The sequence below is a fragment of the Homo sapiens genome, chromosome 1, assembly GCF_000001405.40.
Source record: "Homo sapiens chromosome 1, GRCh38.p14 Primary Assembly".
Taxonomy (NCBI): Eukaryota; Metazoa; Chordata; class Mammalia; order Primates; family Hominidae; genus Homo; species Homo sapiens.
Window position 1 is genome coordinate 156009048 of NC_000001.11, and position 19426 is coordinate 156028473.

Consider the following 19426-nt stretch of genomic DNA (forward strand, 5'->3'; position numbering starts at 1 on the left):
TCAATGTGGCATTTGTTTTTATTAGAAAACCCCTTAGTAAGCACTTCTCTAACCCAGAATAGACACTGGGTATCCTCCAAGAGTCCCATAGCTTTCATTTCATCTTCCACCCTCTTCTGAGAGGGGGAGGCAGGGGATAGGGGTGGTGTCAGGCAGTCTCCAAAATGCCCCTCCTAGACCCCTGAGAGAATTCACGTTGCCAGCAATAAACCAACAGCACCTCAGTGGGGCATCAGAGGGCCCTCTAGGCTCAAGGCTATTGCCAAAGGCATTCCTGTTTATGGCTTCACGATGGAACCAAGGAGGCTCTCGCAGACTCCTAGGGCTGGTCCTTCACTATGGCTGAGAGCAGGGCAGGATCCAGGAGAAAGTGGCCAAGGGCTAAGAGAGAAGAGATTGCATTTAAGATACCCTTTGGAGTCTGGAAAGCACCTGGATTTCTTGGGAGAGGAGCCTGGATTTCTTGGGAGAGGAGGGCTGTGGAAGCCCCAATCAGTTCTTCTTCGTTTTGGGAGTGTCATATTTCCTCTTGCTGGAGTACCACAATAGCAGGGGGATGCCGATGGAGGGAAGGGTCATGACCCCAAAGGCTGCCCAGTCCAGCTGTAAAGGAAAACAAAGACCTTGCTTAGAAGTCTGGATTAGGGCACAGGAGAAGCCAGGGAAAATATGAGTCCAATGAGAAAGGGAGCAGTCTAGCCCAAATTTATTTATTTTTGATACAAAGTCTTAGTTTTTTTTTTTGAGACGGAGTCTCGCCCTGTCACCTAGGCTGGTATGCAGTGGCACATTCTCAGCTCACTGCAACCTCCGCCTCCAGGGTTCAAATGATTTTCCTGCCTCAGCCTCCCCAGTAGCTGGGATTACAGGCGCATGCCACCACACCTGGCTAATTTTTGTATCTTTAGTAGAGACTGGGTTTCACCATGTTGGTCAGGCTGGTCTTGAACTCCTGACCTTATGATCTGCCCACCTCGGCCTCCCAAAGTGCTGGGATTACAGGCATGAGCCACCGCGCCCGGCCGATACAAGGTCTTGCTCTGTTGCCCAGGCTGGAGTGGAGTGGCATGGTCACGGCTCACCGCAGCCTTGATCTCCTGGGCTTAAGTAATCCTCCCACTTCAGCCTCCTGAGTAGCTAGGATCACAGGGGCGTACCACCACACCTGGCTAATTTTTTTTTTATTTTTTGTAGAGGCAAAATATCACTATGTTGCCCAAGCCGGTCTCCAATTCCTGGGCTCAAGTGATTCTCCTGCCTTGACCTCCCAAAGTGCTGGAATTACAGGTGTGAGCCACAACACCCAGCCTAAATTTTCTTAATTTTTATTTTATTTTTTTAGAGATAGAGTCTCACTCTGTTGCTCAGGTTGGAGTGCAGTGGCACAATCATAGCCACTGCAGCCTCAAACTCCTGGGCTCAAGCGATCCTCCAGCAGAGATTATAGGTACACACCACCAGGCCTAACTCAGCACAAATTTTAAGCAGAACTTTAGGCAAGAAGGTTCCTCTCTGACCAATCCTGATATAGAATGGCTCTCTAAAGACCAATCTTTCAAGCTGTGAAACCAAAGGACTCACCCGACCCAAACCAGACTGGAAGAGAAGCTTCTGTTCCAGACAATTTTTGAGAATGGAGATGCCCTGGTCTTGCCCCTGACAGTCAAGCCACCTATGATCTAACCCTTGTTTACACTTCAGGCCCCCTCTTTTCCATTCCTCCACCTCACATTCTGCCCTTCAGCCTTGATAAACTACTTGCCATTCCTGAATCACACCATGCTTTTCTCAATCTCGGCTGCTCTCTCTCCTCAAGTGCCTGCCCTTCCTTACCTCCTCCAGAAAGTCCCCTCTCATTAGATGTTCCTGCTGCAGGCTCCTCCAGCACCTGGCATATAACCTCTATCACAGCATTTTCCCCATTTACCTTTTTTTTTTTTGACAGCGTTTCGCTCTTGTTGTCCAGGCAGCTAGAGTGCAGTGGCTCGATCTTGGCTCACTGCAACCTCCGCATCCCGGGCTCAAGCAATTCCCCTGCCTCAGCCTCCCCATTTACTATTTTGAGTCCTCTATGAGCTCGTAAGATCTTGTTATTTTCAGAGGCAGGGTTTTGCTGTGTCACCCAGGCTAGAGTGCAGTGGTGTGATCATGGCTCACTGCAGCCTCAAACTCTTGGCCGCAAGTGGTCCTCTCGCCTCTGCCTCCCAAAGCACTGGCATTACAGGCATGAGCCATGGTGCCTCGCCAGCCTGTAAGATCTTTAATGGAAGGGACTGTGTCTTATTCATCACTGTGTCCCCAAAGCAGAGCACAGAATGAGCACATAATCTGGAACATCATACTTATTCACTGAATGAATTCCAGCATTCAGTACTTCAGGCTCATCTTCAAAAAATTCTTTCCTAGACTAGACCACAGTAAAGTTCCCACTTAACCTACCCAATGATCTATGACCCTCTGAATCTAATCAGATTTTTTTTTTTTAAACCTCAAAATAGACCCAGGAGTTTAAGATGGGTATCTACTCAAAGATGGGACTCTACTTAAGTCAGTTTTATGGTTTTGGCAATTGTGATCTCATTGCCAAAAATCTCTGGACATGGCTAAATCAATCTATTTGATGAGTATCTATATCAGACACCAAAAAACACACAGGGCAAGAACCAACCAACAAAACAAATCTGTGGAAGCCAAGAGGGTCCAGAACCAAAAGGGCATTCTCATACCAAGGAACTGATGAGAGAGAACACTAGAAAGCTTACAAAATGAGGGGAGAATCGCCTGTCAAACTCCCGCTGAGCCAGGATTCCTCCCTGTCCAGGTGCACTGGTAGAGCCAATCTGAAAAGAAGAAAAGAACGACATTAAGGGAAGTCCACCTCATGAAGTTCCACCTCATCTACTCTGAGAAAGGGCAGTCCCAACCAACCCAACTCTATGCATTAGAGTCTTAGTTCCCAAAGGCTCAGAAGAACTTCAAGAAGATGAGGGAAAGCTTTTGGCTAGAGAGAGTTGGATGATTCTCTCTTAGTGTGTTATAAAGAGGAGTACCTAGGAGCCAGAAGACCTGAGAAATACCCCATGGAGAACATATATTAAACAAGGTAGGCCAGGCATGCAACTGAAATTAAAGCCAAATTCTTCTGTCTGAGCCTCAGACTCTGCAAAGAGTGAAGTTGCTCACCACCACTGGTCCCTCTACAGGGCAAGGTGTGCGTGGAATGACTTACCCTTGGTAATCATTTACTTAATCCTCCAGCAAAAATCCACTACTTCACAGGGTTAATGTGAGGCTCAAATGAAATAGCAAAAATATATAATGAAGTATAAAGCCCTACCCAAATGTACATTATTAGAGGAGGGGTTGAGTCTGGTCCACATTCCTTTGTCTTGGAGAGGAAGCCAAGAGTTTGGAGCACACTGCAAACAACTTTATTCCAAAGTGGCAGCAAAGCCTTTGATTTTATGTCTATTAACCCATCAACTACCAGGTAGAACCAAAGAGTCCTGAGGTTGGTTCTGAAAGCAGAAATGATACCGGATGTGAAAACACCGCTAGGTTTAGAAGAATATGGTTCCATGTAGTTTATGAAAAACGAAAATGCAGAAGGTGCAATGAATGTTAGTTCTTTTCATTCTATGGTTGACTGTGTTAAGTCCCTTCCCTACTGTGTACTAATTAGCCTACAGCCCTACTGGTATGGAGGATCACACATTTTGGCTTCATAAATTTATACATTTATTTGGCTTTATACATTTATGACTTAAGCTTTTTGAGGACTTGGACAGTATATTAATCCTCTTGGTATTCCCCAGAGTCTGGCACATTGCAGGGGCTTCATAAATGTCTATTGACCTTTACATCAATCAAAAGACTGTTTACTACTGAGTTTCTATCATATATGGGAAAAAGAAATCTAAGACAGTTACTGGCCTCAGGGAGTTTATAATTAAATTGGGAGGTGGGGGTGGGGAGAGGGAAGATCTATAAATAAGAAACAAACTACTGAAGACAGTGATTAAATGTTCAAGTGCCATAGACTATAAGTGCTACAGAAGTTTAGATGCAGTCAATATATGTTTATGAAAGAATGAATAGTGGCCGGGCACGGTGGCTCACGCCTGTAATCCCAGTACTTTGGGAGGCCGAGGCGGGCGGATCACAGGTCAGGAGTTTGAGACCAGCTTGGCCAATATGGTGAAACCCCATTTCTACTAAAAATATAAAAAAGTAGCCGGGCACGGTAGCACACACCTGTTGTCCTAGTTACTCGGGAGGCTGAGGCAGAGAATCGCTTGAACCCGGGAAGTGGAGGTTGCAGTGAGCCAAGATTGCGCTACTGCACTGCAGCCTGGGTGACAGAGTGAGACTCTGTCTCAAAAAGAAAAAAAAGAAAAAAAGAAAAGAAAAAAGAAAAGAATGAATAGCAAAGAGCAATATGAACTGAAGGCAGAAAACAAGGAGACATAGCTCAAAGCTGGGTCTTGAGAAGGCTTCAGATATAATGGAGTGGAGGGAAAAGGGTACTTCAAACAGAACAAAGGCACAAAGGAAAGAATAAGGACTGAGTTGGGGGAGAAGGTATGGGAAGTAGCTTGGCCTAATTAGGATGTAGGGTCTGTATGGGCAGAGTGGGAGAGAAGGCTGGAGGCAGAAAATAGCTAGACTACTGGAGGGGGGTGCAGTGAGAGGCAGAAAAGCTCAGCCCTGATGCCGTAAGCAGGAGCAATCTAAGCAAGGGAAGGAGAGAGTAACAGTGGAGACTGGGAAGAATCTGACAGTGGCAGAGAAGACAGATCAGAAAGACAAGGACATCAGTAGGCAGCAAATGACACACTCCAGATGAAAAGGAAGGCAGAAGGAATGAAGAGAAGGGGAAGGCCATGGTACACCTCTCCCATCCATTTCAATCACTCTAGTCCAGAACTTTAATTTGAAACATACTTCCTTAGGACAATACCAAGTGTCTGGTTAATGTTATCTCCCTCAGAATTTAGTAGCTACTGTGTAAATTTTCTGTAAGAGGTTTTTGTTTTTACAATCTATACTTTTTAGATGGATATCCATCACCTTAAACATTTATCTTTTTTTTGAGACAGGGTCTCACTCTGTTGCCCAGGCTGGAATGCAGTGGCAATAAAATGGCTCACTGCAGCCTCAACCTCTGGGGCTCAAGCAATCCTCCCACCTCAGCCTCCTGAGTACCTGGGATCACAGGCACGTGCACCATGCCTGGCTAATTATTTGAAATGGGGGTCTCACCATGTTGCCCAGGCTGGTCTCCAACTCCTGGGCTCAAGCAATCCACCTGCCTTGGCCTCCCAAAGTACTGGGATTACAGGCGTGAGCCACCACGTCTGGCCGCATTTATCTTTTCTTTATGATGGAAATGTTCAAATGCTTCTCATCTGGCTATTTTGAAATATACATTAGATTACTGTTAACTATAGTCACCCTACTAAACTATCGAACACTAGGTCTTATTCTTTCTAACTATATATATATATTTTTTGAGACGGAGTCTCACTCTGTCGCCCAGGCTGAAGTGCAGTAGTGTGATCTCGGCTCACTGCAACCTCTGCCTCCTGGGTTCAAGTGATTCTCTTGCTCCAGCCTCCCAAGTAGCTGGGATTACAGGCGCCTGCCACCACGCCCAGCTAATTTTTGTATTTGTAGTAGAGATGGGGCTTCTGCATGTTGGCCAGGCTGGTCTTGAACTCCTGACCTTAGGTGATCTGCCCACCTCGGCCTCCAAAAATGCTAGATTACAGGTGTGAGCCACTGCGCCCAGTCCTAACTGTATTTTGGTATCTATTAATCAACCTCTCTTCATCCCCCTCTTACCCCCACCACAAGAGATTTTAAGGGAAGGCAGATCCAAATTCCATCCAGCTAAGGGTTTGGGCAACTCACCACAACGGGCCCATCCTCCTGGGCCAGGTAAGTAATTGTTGCCGAGGTGAAGTTGAAATAACCAGCCTTGAGAGGGCGCAGGACCACAGTGTGGGAGACATTGCTAGCACTGGCTCAAGAGTTAAGGAACGGAAAGAGATGAAGCTAAAGTTGTAGCAGCCTTTCAACCTGTGGACTAAATGCACCACTTACAAAACATTTGCCAATACATGCTGATCTCATGCCGGCAATATTCTGCAGGAATGAAAAAATATAGGCTTCTTTGCCGGGCATGGTGGCTCACGCCTGTAATCCTAGCACTTTGGGAGGCCGAGGCGGGTGGATTGGCTGAGTTCAGGAGTTCGAGAACAGCCTGGGCAACACGGTGAAACCCCGTCTCTAATAAAATACGAAAAAATTAGCTGGGCATGGCAGCATGCGCCTGCAGTCCCAGCTACTCGGGAGGCTGAGGCAGGAGAACTGCTTGAACCCGGGAGGCGGAGGTTGAGTGAGCCGAGATTGTGCCACTGTACTCCAGCCTGGGTAACAGAGTGAGACTCCGCCTCAAAAAAAAAAAAAAAAAAAAAAAAAAAAAAATATATATATATATATATATATAGGCTTCTTTTTAAAATTTACTGATTTTTTTAAATATTAAAAAAAAAAGAGAGAGAGATGGGGTCTCACTTTGTTGCCCAGGCTGGTCTCAAAATCTTGGGTTCAAGTGATCCTCCCACCTTGGCCTCCCAAAGTCCTGGGATTACAGGCATGAGCCACCATATGGGGCCTAGGCATCTTTTTTAAATCTAAAGTGTATGGTATTTTTTTCCAGCTAAATTTTAAGGGTCCCATGTTATACTCAGTGTCATGGTTTTTGAAGTAAACTTCCAAAGCAATATATGTTATGGATAAAAAAATTATAGTCACTTGGCCAGGCATGGGAGCTCATGCCTGTAATCCCAGCACTTTGGGAGGCCGAAGTGGTTGGATCACCTGAGGTCAGAAGTTCGAGACCAGCCTGGCCAACATGGCGAAACCCCGTCTCTACTAAAAATACAAAAATTAGCTAGGCATGGTGGCGAGTGCCTGTAATCCCAGCTACTCTGGAGGCTGAGGCTGGAGAATCGCTTGAACTCGGGAGCCAGAGGTTGCAGTGAGCCGAGATTGCACCATTGCACTCAAGACAAGAGCGACAAGAGCGAAACTCCATCTCAAAAAAAAAATTACAGTCATTCAATCAGTGCTTCTTCTTGGATGATTAAAAGAAATTATAGTCACTTAAGCTCACAGAAAATCTTTTTTTTTTGTTTTTTTTTGACAGTCTCGCTCCGTCGCCCAGGCTGAAGTGCAGTGGCATGATCTCAGCTCACTGCAAGCTCCGCCTCCTGGGTTCACACCATTCTCCTGCCTCAGCCTCCAGAGTAGCTGGAACTACAGGCGCCCGCCACCACGCCTGGCTAATTTTTTTGTATTTTTAGTAGAGACAGGGTTTCACTGTGTGTTAGCCAGGATGGTCTCGATCTCCTGACCTCGTGATCCACCCGCCTCGGCCTCCCAAAGTGCTGGGATTACAGGCGTAAGCCACCGCGCCTGGCCAAGCTCATAGAAAATCTTTTGTTAACTATAATTGAAGGAAATTATTGAAAATACAAAAAAAAAAGACAAAACAAAAACAAATACAAAGACCACATTTACCCTCACCAATAAACCTAAACGTATACATAATTATTATTGATATGATTTGGATCTGTGTCCCTGCCCAAATCTCATGTGGAATTGTAATCCCCAATGTTGGAGGAGGGGCCTGGTGGGAGGGAATTGGATCATGGGGGCAGATTTCTCCCTTGCCATTCTAATGATATGAGTTCTCACAAGATCTGGTTTAAAAGTGTGTAGCACCTCCCCTCTTACTCTCTTCCTCCTGCTCCAGACATGTAAGACGTGCCTATTTTCCCTTTGCCTTCTACCATTATAAGTTCCCTGAGGCATCCCCAGCCATGCTTGCTGTACAGCCTGCAGAACCGTGAACAAATTAAACCTCTTTTTTTAAAAATTACCCAGTCTCAGCTTATTCTTCATAGCAACTTGAGAACAGATTAATAAAATACAATTAATTATTATTTAAGAGACTAGGTCTCACTTTGTCACCAAGGCTGGAGTACAGCAGCACTATCATAGCTCACTGCAGGCTTGAACTCCCAAGCCCTAGCAATCCTCTCACCTCCATCTCCCAAGTAGCTGGGACTATAGGCATGTGCCACCGCACCTGGCTTAAATATACTTTAATTCACAGGAAGAAAAATACCATCTAATTCAATACTCAGGAGATAATTGGTAGATTAGAATAAGAGACTCACTGAATAAGAGACTTTAAAAGGTCACCCAGATCCTTCATGCTAGCATCCCAGTGAATTTCTTTTTTTTATTTTTGAGACAGAGTCTTGCTGTCGCCCAGGCTAGAGTGCAGTGGCGCGATCTCAGCTCACTGCAACCTGCACCTCCCGGGTTCAAGCGATTCTCCTACCTCAGCCTCCCGAGTAGCTGGGATTACAGGCTCCCGCCACTGCGCCTGGCTAATTTTTGTATTTTTAGTAGAGACGGGGTTTCACTATCTTGGCCAGGCTGGTCTCGAACTCCTGACCTCGTGATCCACCCACCTTGGCCTCCCAAAGTGCTGGGATTACAGGCATGAGCCACTGTGCCTGGCCTGAATTTCTTTTAAAAGCACCTTAAATACCTTTGTCCAGCCACAAACATCTTTATTAAGTGTCTATATCCTCCCAGTATAGTATGTTTCAGGTTTTTTTTTTTTTTTTTTTTTTTTTTTTTGACACAGAGTCTCACTCTGTTGCCTAGGCTACAGTGCAGTGGCAGGATCTCGGCTCACTGCAACCTCCGCCTCCTGGGTTCAAGTGATTCTCCTGCCTCAGCCTCCCAAGTAGCTAGACTATAGGTGCGCGCCATCATGCCCAGCTAATTTTTGTATTTTTAATAGAGACAGGGTTTCACCATGTTGGCCAGGATGGTCTCAATCTCTTGACCTTATGATCCACCCACCTCGGCCTCCCAAAAATGCTGGGATTACAGGCATGAGCCACCGTGCCCAGCTTGTTTCAGGGTCTTATAATCTGAACTTCAGTATCCTCCTTCTTCATGTCTACTCTAAATCATGCTCACACAATTTACACCAACCTCTCTTGCTCCATCTTATCCAGAGAGATGACAGGAGGACAGCCACACATATCCAGCCTATTTGAAGTACCCCTGCTGCTTTGCAGGCAAGGCTCTCCCTGCCCCCCGACCCTTCATCACCAAGTGCCAAGAGGATACGGGGCAATCCGGTCCCATTTGACATTGAGCATTCCAGACACAATGCCAAAGTCTTCTGGAGGGAAGGAATCATCAGATAGTTCCACGTCTAATGCAGCACTAGAAAATGGATGAAACAAAAAGGGTTAGTAAGTAATGGATATAAAATTAAAGCAGGCCGGGCGCCGTGGCTCACGCCTGTAATCCCAGCACTTTTGGGAGGCCGAGGTGGGCAGATCACCTGAGGTCAGGAGTTCGAGACCAGCCTGGCCAACATGGTGAAACCCTGTCTCTACTAAAAATACAAAAATTAGCTGGGCGCGGTGGTGAGCGCCTGTAATCCCAGCTACTCGGGAGGCTGAGGCAGGAGAACTGCTTGAACCCTGGGAGGCGGAGGTTGCAGTGAGCCAAGATCGCACCACTATACTCCAGCCTGGGACAGAGCGAGACTCTGTCTCAAACAAACAAAAAAATTAAAGCAATAGTCCGGGCGCAGTGGTTCACACCTATAATCCTAGCACTTTGGGAGGCTGAGGCTGGCTGATCTCTTGAGGTCAGGAGTTCAAGACCAGCCTGGCCAACATGGTGAAACTCCGTCTCTAAAATACAAAAAATCCTGTCTCTAAAAATACAAAAATTAGCCAGGCATGGTGGTATGCGCCTGTAATCCCAGCTACTCGGGAGGCTGAGGCAGGAGGATCACTTGCAGCTGGGAAGCAGAGGTTGCAGTGAGCAGAGACTGCACCACTGCACTCCTGCCTGGGTGACAGAGTGATACTCCATCTAAAAAATAATAATAAAAAAATTAAATTAAAGCAATAAACAATCAAACCTGCCTGCTTCTCCAAAAAAATCAGAATTGCAAAAGATATGAGTAATATAGCAACTTGGTTCTGTTGCACTGAAGAATCCAGGTCAAGGACTGGATTCTATTGCTCAGAAGCACCAAAATAATCAAGTATCCAGGAGGCAATAGGTCCAAGTTCATCCTTGCCTCAATTTTTCTTCATGTACATGCCTATGTGTGTGGAGGGAGGGAGAAGAGGAACACAGTGAATACAGAGGAGAAAGTTATAAGGGAATAAAATGAAAGAAAGGCAACAAAAATGCTCTAGGCTAATGAAAGAAGGAAAATTACACTTTTTTTTTTTTGAGATGGAGACTCGGTCTTGTGGCTCAGGCTGGAGTGCAGTGGCGCAATCTCCGGCTCACTGCAACTTCCGCCTCCCGGGTTCAAGCGATTCTTTTGCCTCAGCCTCCCGAGTAGCTGGGACTACAGGCGTCCGCCACCACGCCTGGCTAATTTTTGTATTTTTAGTAGTGACAGGGTTTTGCCATGTTGGCCAGGCTGGTCTCGATCTCCTGACCTCCAGCAATCCGCCCGCCTCAGCCTCCCAAAGTGCTGAGATTACAGGCGTGAGCTACCATGCCAGGCTGGAAGATGACACTTTAAACCCCTGAGGTAACAAGGGATTGTGTATTTTCTGTGTCTTTATCTTTCCCTCCTAGTTTTTCCACAATTCTTGCCACTTCCCTACTCTAAAATTCTTCCAACCCGAAACGTGAAAGATGGTTTCTTGTAGCTTAGGTAAGAATGTCCTCCTTTCCAAAAGTAGATCCCGAAGTGTATTCATTCACTCAATATATCTGATGCTGGAAGTGTCCCAAAGAGAAACCACTACCCACCAATATGCTCCCTATTCCCATCTGAAAACTAAGAATCCAGAAATAGGCTTAATCTGTAACTCTAGGGCCTCGAGTTACCTTGAGCCAACATTGTAGATGTTGTACTGCAAGGTCAGGTCTCGTCCCTCCACGGCGTATCTGTTCAGCAGTGATTTGGAAGCCAAAAGCCTGGCTCCTTCCTCTGCTTGAGTGACAGCAAATAGAGCCAACACCACAAATGACAGCAGCCTCATCTTTAGAGAAAAAAGCAAAGTGAGTTATCAAACCAAGTACGTCAAATTCACCAAAATCCTCTTGACAGCGCTCCCGTAGAAAGCTCCTTCGATGCTACCAGAACAGCAGCCCCTTCCACAGAGTAGTCCATAAGCCACCAGAGCAGACCCGTTCTCCAGACTCTCCTACCATCTTCACCCTGCAGCCCTCGAAAAACCGGTACAAGCACCAATATATCTACTGCCCTCTTCCTGTCAGAAGCCCCGGGATGCCCACCGGCTGGTGGAGTCTTCTGAGGGGACACCATGTGGCCAGAGCAGGGCTTCCTTGGGGTGCCTGATTTCGGCCGATCTCGGACCTGCAGGAGCCTGTAGCTTTCCCTCACACAGGAGTGCCCACAGCCTTCCCGCTGCTCCCCTCCTCCTTGGCCACAGCTCTATTGGGATCCCACCGCGGACTCGCGGGGTCCTCCTCACATCCCTGTACCCCACTCTCCAGTCCAGCCCCTGAGATCCCATTCGTCCTCGCCTGTCACATCCCTTTCTTGGTCCCACGGGCGGGGGGGCGGGGGTCAATCACCTCTGCCCCCCGCCTCCCGCCTCTTGCAAGGTTACACGTCCTCCAGCCACCGCGTCCTCTGCCCTTCCCGCCCTCCCCTAGCTAACCCCCAGCCACGGGGTGATGCGCGGACACGAGGCTCTCGCCTCTCCCGTTCGGACGCCCTAAGCCTCCGGACTTACCGTTGGCATCCCAAACGCCTTTCCGGAGCCACAAAGACAGGAAGAGAGCGTCAGCATCCGAAAGACCGGAAATAAGCACTGGCCGGAAACCGTGGTGTTCCGCCCAATGCCTTGTGGGAGTTGTAGTTCTTGGAGAAGCCCCACCTTTCCCTTTGTAGTGCCCGCCTGCCTGAGAGGCTGTGAGCGCTCCTAAGAGGTTTGTGCGTTCTCCAGGCTTCTTATTCGGCCCTCTTTGGGGGGCTTTTCAAGCTGATTTTTCACTACTGTATGTGACCCGCACCTCATTAGGTGCTTTGGGAAACTAGCAAACCTAGAAATTTGGATCATCTATCTAAAATGTCAACTAGTACTGTCGAACAGAGAATTAGAGAAAAGCTATTCCAACCAGTATTTTTTCTATTCTCAGACAAGACACATAGACATTCCCTACATCCAGCAGGTCACCGAGCCCTGAGCTTTATTTAGAAGCCCTTTGAAGTGCCAAAAAAGTAGATCTTTTTTTCTCCATTCCTACTATAACTGCTTCAGTTCTTGCTGGTTTCTGGATGTGGGTTTTACTCTAGTAGTCTTTCTATCTTAGGTCTTTCCTGCACTTTTTATTTTTATTTATTTTATTTTATTTTATTTTATTTTTGAGACAGGGTCTTGCTCTGTACCCCAGGGTGGAATGCAGTGGCGCGATCTCAGCTCACTGCAACCTCCGCCTCCCAGGTTCAAGCGATTCTCCTGCCTCAGCCTCCCCAGTAGCTGGGATTACAGGAGTGTGCCACCTGCCCGGCTAATTTTTTGTCCTTTTAGTAGAGACGGTGTTTCACCATGTTGGCCAGACTGGTCTCAAACTCCTGTCCTCAAGTGATCTGCCCACCTTGGCCTCCCAAAGTGCTGGAATTACAGGCTTGAGCCACCACGCCCGGCCTCCCTGCACTTTTTAATCAGCTGCCAAACTTCCCAAAACAGCATTTTGAACAGTAGATCTTAGGTTCAGAGGATGAACTGTGAAGTTAGGCAGTCATGAATTCAATCCCAGTTCTGTCACTTACTGGTTAGGTAACCTTGAACAAGCATTACTTATATAACACCTTGGTTCCCACATCTGTAAAACAAGATAATTATAGCACTCACAAAAGGTTAGAGTATCAAATAAGATGATGTATGTAAAACTCTTAGTACAGTGCCTGGCACATGTATGTGCTCAGTAAATGGTAATTATCAGTATTGCTGTTATTCTATACCTCCCTTGTAGCATTCCTGCATTCAATATGCGTTTACTGAGCACCTACTTTGTTCCTGGTGCTGCTGTAGGTTCTGGAGATACAGTGATAAATAGGACAGATATGGTTTCTACTTTCTGGGGGTTACATTCTTGTAGAATAATACACATTGCCTGTATCTGCCTTAGTATCTGTCCTTCCATTCTCCACCTCCAAGATTGCAGCTTCTTGAGAAAAGGTTGTCCATTTCCCGTTGCTTAGTGTCTTGCCTGAGCACACAGGAAGTAGTCCAGGAATTAATAATGACTTCTCTACATACAACCTCCAATCTGCTCTGACTTCAGGCCTTGGTGTGTGGCTTCCCTGAAATGTCCTACTGCCTCTCTTTCTTATCCAAATCCAGCCAATCCTTCAGGACCCTGTTCTGGTCTTGTCCTCTCTGGGAAGCCCTCCTTGGCTTTGAGCTCTTTTACACACAACAGTTTATTTGTTTTCCTTTAATTGTTTCTGGCTTGAAAAATGTACCTTAGGCCAGGCACAGTGGCTCATGCCTGTAATCCCAGCACTTTGGGAGGCCGAGGCGGGTGGATCACGAGGTGAGGAGATCGAGACCATCCTGGCCAACATGGTGAAACCCCGTCTCTACTAAAAATACAAAAATTAGCTGGGTATGGTGGCGCATGCCTGTAATCCCAGCTACTCAGGAGGCTGAGGTTGGAGAATCGCTTGAACCCAGGAGGCAGGGGTTGCAGTGAACCGAGATCGTACCACTGCACTCCAGCCTGGTGCCAGAGCAAGACTCCGTCTTAAAAAAGAAAAAGAAAAATGTACCTTAATGATTAGGTCCTATTTCTGTAGTGTACACTTTTTCAAGGGCAAAGAAAGTGCTCAAGAAACGTCTGCTGATTGGAGAAATTTTTTTTTTTGAGACAGAGTCTCACTGTGTTGCCCAGGCTGGAGTGCAGTGGTGCTATCTCAGCTCACTGCAACCTCCGCCTCCCAGGTTCAAGCAATTCTCCTGCCTCAGCCTCCCAAGTAGCTGGGACTACAGGCACATGCCAGCATGCCCAGTTAATTTATTTGTATTTTCAGTAGAGACGGGGTTTCACCATGTTGGCAGGATGGTCTTGATCTCCTGACCTTGTGGTCCGCCCGTCTCAGCCTCCCAAAGTGCTGGGATTACAGATGTGAGCCACCACACCCAGCCAATTGGAGAAATTTTTATTCCTTCCTTCCTTCCTTTTTCTTTCTTTCCTTTTTTTTTCTTTTTAGGCAGAGTCTCACCCTTTGCCCAGGCTGAGTGCAGTGGCACAAACATGGCTCACTGCATCCTTAACCTCCTGGGCCAGCTGATCCTCTTACTTCAGCCTCCCGATTAGCTGGGACCACAGGTGTGCCCTACCATGCCTGGGTAATTTTTTTTTTTTTTACTTTAGGGACGGAGTTTCGCCATGTTGCTCAGGCTGGTCTCTAACTCCTGGGCTCAAGTGATCCACTCGTCTCTGCCTCCCAAAGTGTTGGGATTATAGGCATGGCCCACCTTGTTTGCTCAAATATTGCTTTCTAGAGCCATTTCTTCAGGACCGGAAAGATGGACAGTGTGGGTGTTCTTGTTTCTCAGACTCTGCTGCACCTGAAAGCAATGTATCTTTAGCACACACTCTTTGGACACCTTACTATGTAGCCACTTCTAGGTCCAGAAGAGAAATGTCTTCATCTTTGGGTTGCCCACTTATACACTGACCCTTTTCCTGCCTCTATCCCATCCGAGTCACTTGTTCTTTCATTAGTACATTTAGCATTCATTTTTTGAGCACCTGTTATGTGTCAAGCACTGTGATAGTGACTATAAGAGATACAAAATAGGGCCAGGCACGGTGGCTCATGCCTGTAATCCCAGCACTTTGGAAAGCCGAGGTGGGTGGATCATGAGGTCAGGAGTTAGAGACCAGCCTGACCAACATGGTGAAACCCGGTCTCTACGAAAAATACAAAAATTAGCCGGGCATGGTGGCACACCCTTGTAATCCCAGCTACTAGGGAGGCTGAGGCAGGAGAATCGCTTGAACCTGGGAGGTGGAGGTTGCAGTGAGCCGAGATCGTGCCACTTCACTCCAGCCTGGGTGACAGAGTGAGACTCCATCTCAAAAAAAAGAGAGATACAAAATAGGATATGGTGCCTGCCCTCAAGGAGGATGACCTATAGTCCTAACCATAATGAAAAGACAAATGAGGTGTCAAGCACTCCTCAAAAAAACAAAAACAAAAACAGTCAGGCAAGGTGGTTCACACCTGCAATCCCAGCACCTTGGAAGGAAGGACTGCTTAAAGCCAGGAGTTCGAGACCAACCTTGGCAACAAAGCGATACCTGTCTCTACAAAAAAAATTTTTAAGCAGCCAGGTATGGTGCCATGTTCCTGTAACCCCAGCTTACTCAGAAGGCTGAGGTGGAAGCATCGCTTGAGCCCAGGAGTTCGAGGCTGCAGGGAGCTATGATTGCACCACTACTCTCCAGCCTGGTGACAAAGCAACAACCTGTCTGGAAACAAAACACATGGGCCGGGTGCGGTGGGCTCATGCCTGTGATCCCAGCACTTTGGGAGGCTGAGGCAGGCAGATTACCTGAGGTCAGGAGTTCAAAACCAGCCCTGCCAACATGGCTAAACCTGTCACCACAGCTGGCTAATTTTTGTATTTTTGGTGGATACGGGGTTTGGCCATGTTGGCCAGACTGGTCTCCAACTCCTGACCTCAAGCGATCCACCTACCTCGGCCTCCCAAAGTGTTGGGATTGCAGGCATGAGCCACTATGCCCCGCCTCATTTTTTAACTCATTTCAGTTTAAGTTTGAATAGCTACATGTGACTAGTATATGGAACAGCACAGCTCTAGTGTACTCTGACACATGTCTGGACTTTGGCTTTTGAAATGCAAAAGCCCAGCATTTTGCTACTCAGAAAGCATTTTCTCTGCTTTTTCTCTGAAACAATTCTTCCTCCATCATTGGGAAAGCTCGGGTCTGAGGCACAGGATGTGGGACAGCTCCCAGTGAGTCCCCAAAAAACCTCCAAATCTTGACTGACCCCATTGAATGTCTGAACCCAGGGAAGATACCTTCCTGAGGTAGATGCTTCTAGGTATGCAAAGCACACGGTATACCCCTTCCTCCTACACACATGAAGGATGTCCGTGTCCTCTCAGCCCCTTCACCCTCTTGTTCCCTCTCAGCCTCACAGCCAGTAATGAGGAGCCATTTTAGCATAAGGGCATATCATCCTGAGAGGCAGTCTCTCAGGATGAGAGCGACAGCATGACTTGTTGGTTTGGTTGTAGATATCATACTCTGAAGATGGAATGGCGACGTCAGTGAGGAGGCCAGAAACAGGGGTCTCCTCGACCTCACCCAAGAGGCAGCAGCAGGAAGAAGTAGGGCTCCAACTAAAAGCGGGAAAGTAGCCGGGCACGGTGGCTCACACCTGTAATCTCAGCACATTGAGAGGCTGAGGTGGGTGGATCCCCTGAGGTCAGGAGTTCGAGACCAGCCTGGCTAACATGGTGAAACTCCGTCTTTAATAAAAATACAAAAATTAGCTGGGCATGGTGGCGGGCACCTGTAATCACAGCTACTTGGGAGGCTGAGGCAGGAGAATCACTTGAACCCAGGAGGTGGAGGTTGCAGTGAGTCGAGATGGCACCACTGCACTCCAGCCTGGGCGACAGAGGGAGACTCTATCTTAAAAAAAAAAAAAAAAAAAGCGGCAAAGTAGATAAGAACAAGGCAAGGGTCCTTTGTGAAAAGGGACTTCCGGGTATCTGCTCCAGGCTGGCTCTGGAAGACAACTTTGGGAGAAAAGGCATGCATGCACATCCTACCTCCCGGACCAGGAGTCTATGTGTGTTACCAACCAGCTACCAAGGAGTCTCTTTTCTTTTCCACAATGAGCTGTGTGCACTCAGTCTCCTGCCAGACACTAGGGGACGCTGGCAGTGTCGGCGAGCCTCTGCGCTGTGGTCCTGCTCTGCCACTGCATCCACCACGCTGTAGTCAGACAACTTGTCCCAGCTCTTTCCCCTCCCTGGACTGTGAGTACCTACAGGGCAGGGACACACCTCGTGTTTGTGGAATGGCTTCCCCATAAGTAGTCACTGAGCATAACTGAGCCACGCAGGGAGAAGAAAATCACTGCTGCTGACCCTGCAATGGTCAGGCTTGGCTGGAAAAGGACACCAGATTCCAGAGCCAAGAACAGTGCCCCACGCACAATTATTTATTTTGAAACACTTCAAACCTACAGAAACTTGAAAAAATGGTTGAATTAACACCTGTATACCTTTCATCTGGATTTATCAGTCACTAACATTTTGCCCATTTGCTGTCACTCTATATGTAAATTAATATATGTATACACTGTCTTGTGCCACATAATGATGTTTTGGTCAACAATGGACTGTATATATAATGGTGGTCACATAGATTATGATACTGTATTTTCACTGTACCTTTTCTATGTTTAGATACACAAATATCATATGTTACAATTGCCTACAGTATTCAGTACAGTAATGTGCTGTATAGGTTTGTGCCCTAGGAACAATAGGCTGTACCATACTACTGCCAAGGTGTATAATAGGCCATGCCATCTAGGTTTGTAAGTACACTCTATGATGTTCACACAACGACATCACCTAACACCATATTTCTCAGAATGTATCCCGTGGTTAAGTGATGCATAACTGTATATGTACAGTCGTCCCTTGGCAACCTTAGGGGATTCGTTGCAGGACCATTGCAAATACCAAAATCTGTAGATGCTCATTATCTTTATATAAAATGACAGAATATTTGCATATAGCCTATGCATATCCTCCCATATACTTTATTCTTTTTGTTAATTTTTTTTATAATTTTGTTTAATAAAGTAGAGCAGCCGGGCATGGTGGCTCATGCCTGTAATCCCAGCACTTTGGGAGGCCGAGGCAGGCGGATCACCTGAGGTTGGGAGTTTGAGACCAGCCTGACCAACATGGAGAATCCCTGTCTCTACTAAAAATACGAAATTAGCCGGGCACACCTGTATTCCCAGCTACTGGGATACAGTAGCTGGGATTACAGCTACTTGAAGCTGAGGCAGGAGAATCGCTTGAACCCAGGAGGCAGAGGTTGCAGTGAGCCGAGATCACGCCATTGTACTCCAACCTGGGCAACAAAAGCAAAACTCCGTCTCAAAAATAAATAAATAAATAAATAAATAAATAAAGTAGAGCAGAATCTCACTATGTTGTCCCAGGTCAGTCTCAAACTCTTCAAGCGATTCTCCTGCCTTGGCCTTCCAGAGTGCTGGGATTACAGGCATGAAGCATTGCACCTGGCCCCTACCATATACTATTTATTTATTTATTTATTTATTTATTTATTTATTTATTTATCTGAGACGGAGTCTCACTCTGTCGCCCAGGCTGGAGTGCAGTGGCGCGATCTCGGCTCACTGCAAGCTCCGCCTCCCGGGTTCACGCCATTCTCCTGCCTCAGCCTCCCGCGTAGCTGGGACTAAAGGCGCCCGCCACCACACCCAGCTGATTTTTTTTGTATTTTTTTTAGTAAAGACAGGGTTTCACCGTGTTAGCCAGGATGGTCTTGATCTCCTGACCTTGTGATCTGCCAATCTCAGCCTCCCAAAGTGCTGGGATTACAGGCGTGAGCCACCACGCCCAACTTATTTATTTATTTTTTTGAGATGCAGTCTCACTCTGATGCCCAGGCTGGTGTGCAGTGGTGTAATCTGGGGCTCACCACAACCTCTGCCTCTCAAGTTCAGGCGATTCTCCTGCCTCAGCCTCCCAAGTAGCTGGGATTACAGGCGTGCGCCACCATGCCCAGCTAATTTTTGTATTTTTAGTAGAGACAGGGTTTCATCATGTTGGCCAGGCTGGTCTCAAACTCCTGACCTCAAGTGATTCGCCCACCTTGGCCTCCCCAAGTGCTGGGATTACAGGCATGAGCCACTGTGCTGGGCCTACCGTACACTTTACATAATCTCTGGGCCAGGTGCAGTGGCTCATGCCTATAATCCCAGCTGTTTGGGAGGCAGAGGCAGGAGGATTGTTTGAGACAAGGAGTTTAAGACCAGCCTGGGCAACATAGTGAGACTCTCTCTATTTTTTTTTTTAATTAAAAAAACAATTTTCCGGCCAGGTGAGGTGGCTCATGCCTGTAATCCCATCACTTTGGGAGGCCAAGGTGGGCAGATCACCTGAGGTCAGGAGTTCATGACCAGCCTGGCCAATATGGCAAAATCCCATCTCAACTAAAAATACAAAAAAAGTAGCCGGGCATGGTGGTGTGAACCTATAATCCCAGCTACTTGGGAGGCTGA

At 47.0% G+C, this 19426-nt stretch overlaps 1 protein-coding gene and 1 long non-coding RNA gene across 3 annotated transcripts in view, besides 1 other annotated feature; one reads left to right on the plus strand and one right to left on the minus strand.

Moving 5' to 3' along the window:
- Nucleotides 1–11904, minus strand: SSR2 (signal sequence receptor subunit 2). The gene is made up of 6 exons (NM_003145.4): nucleotides 11841–11904; nucleotides 10966–11120; nucleotides 9223–9321; nucleotides 5914–6022; nucleotides 2763–2840; nucleotides 1–603 (listed from the first exon to the last, which is right to left on the minus strand). The coding sequence occupies exons 2-6, from the start codon at nucleotides 11118–11120 to the stop codon at nucleotides 493–495; spliced, it is 552 nt and encodes a 183-aa protein (NP_003136.1). The 5' UTR covers nucleotides 11841–11904; the 3' UTR covers nucleotides 1–492.
- Nucleotides 11806–19426, plus strand: part of LOC105371729 (uncharacterized) — a 12494-nt gene continuing 4873 nt past the window's right edge. The window contains exon 1 of one of the 2 annotated variants that reach the window (XR_001738249.3): nucleotides 11806–12036. This is a non-coding gene — a long non-coding RNA (uncharacterized LOC105371729). The remainder of the gene's footprint in view (nucleotides 12037–19426) is intronic. The other variant, XR_007066652.1, reaches the window with a different exon arrangement.
- Nucleotides 17092–17141: a silencer, noted in NCBI's record as "silent region_1414". NCBI's record gives its function as "represses an Ori minimal core promoter by ATAC-STARR-seq in GM12878 lymphoblastoid cells {active_cell/tissue: GM12878}" and the evidence as "EXISTENCE:reporter gene assay evidence [ECO:0000049][PMID:35858748]".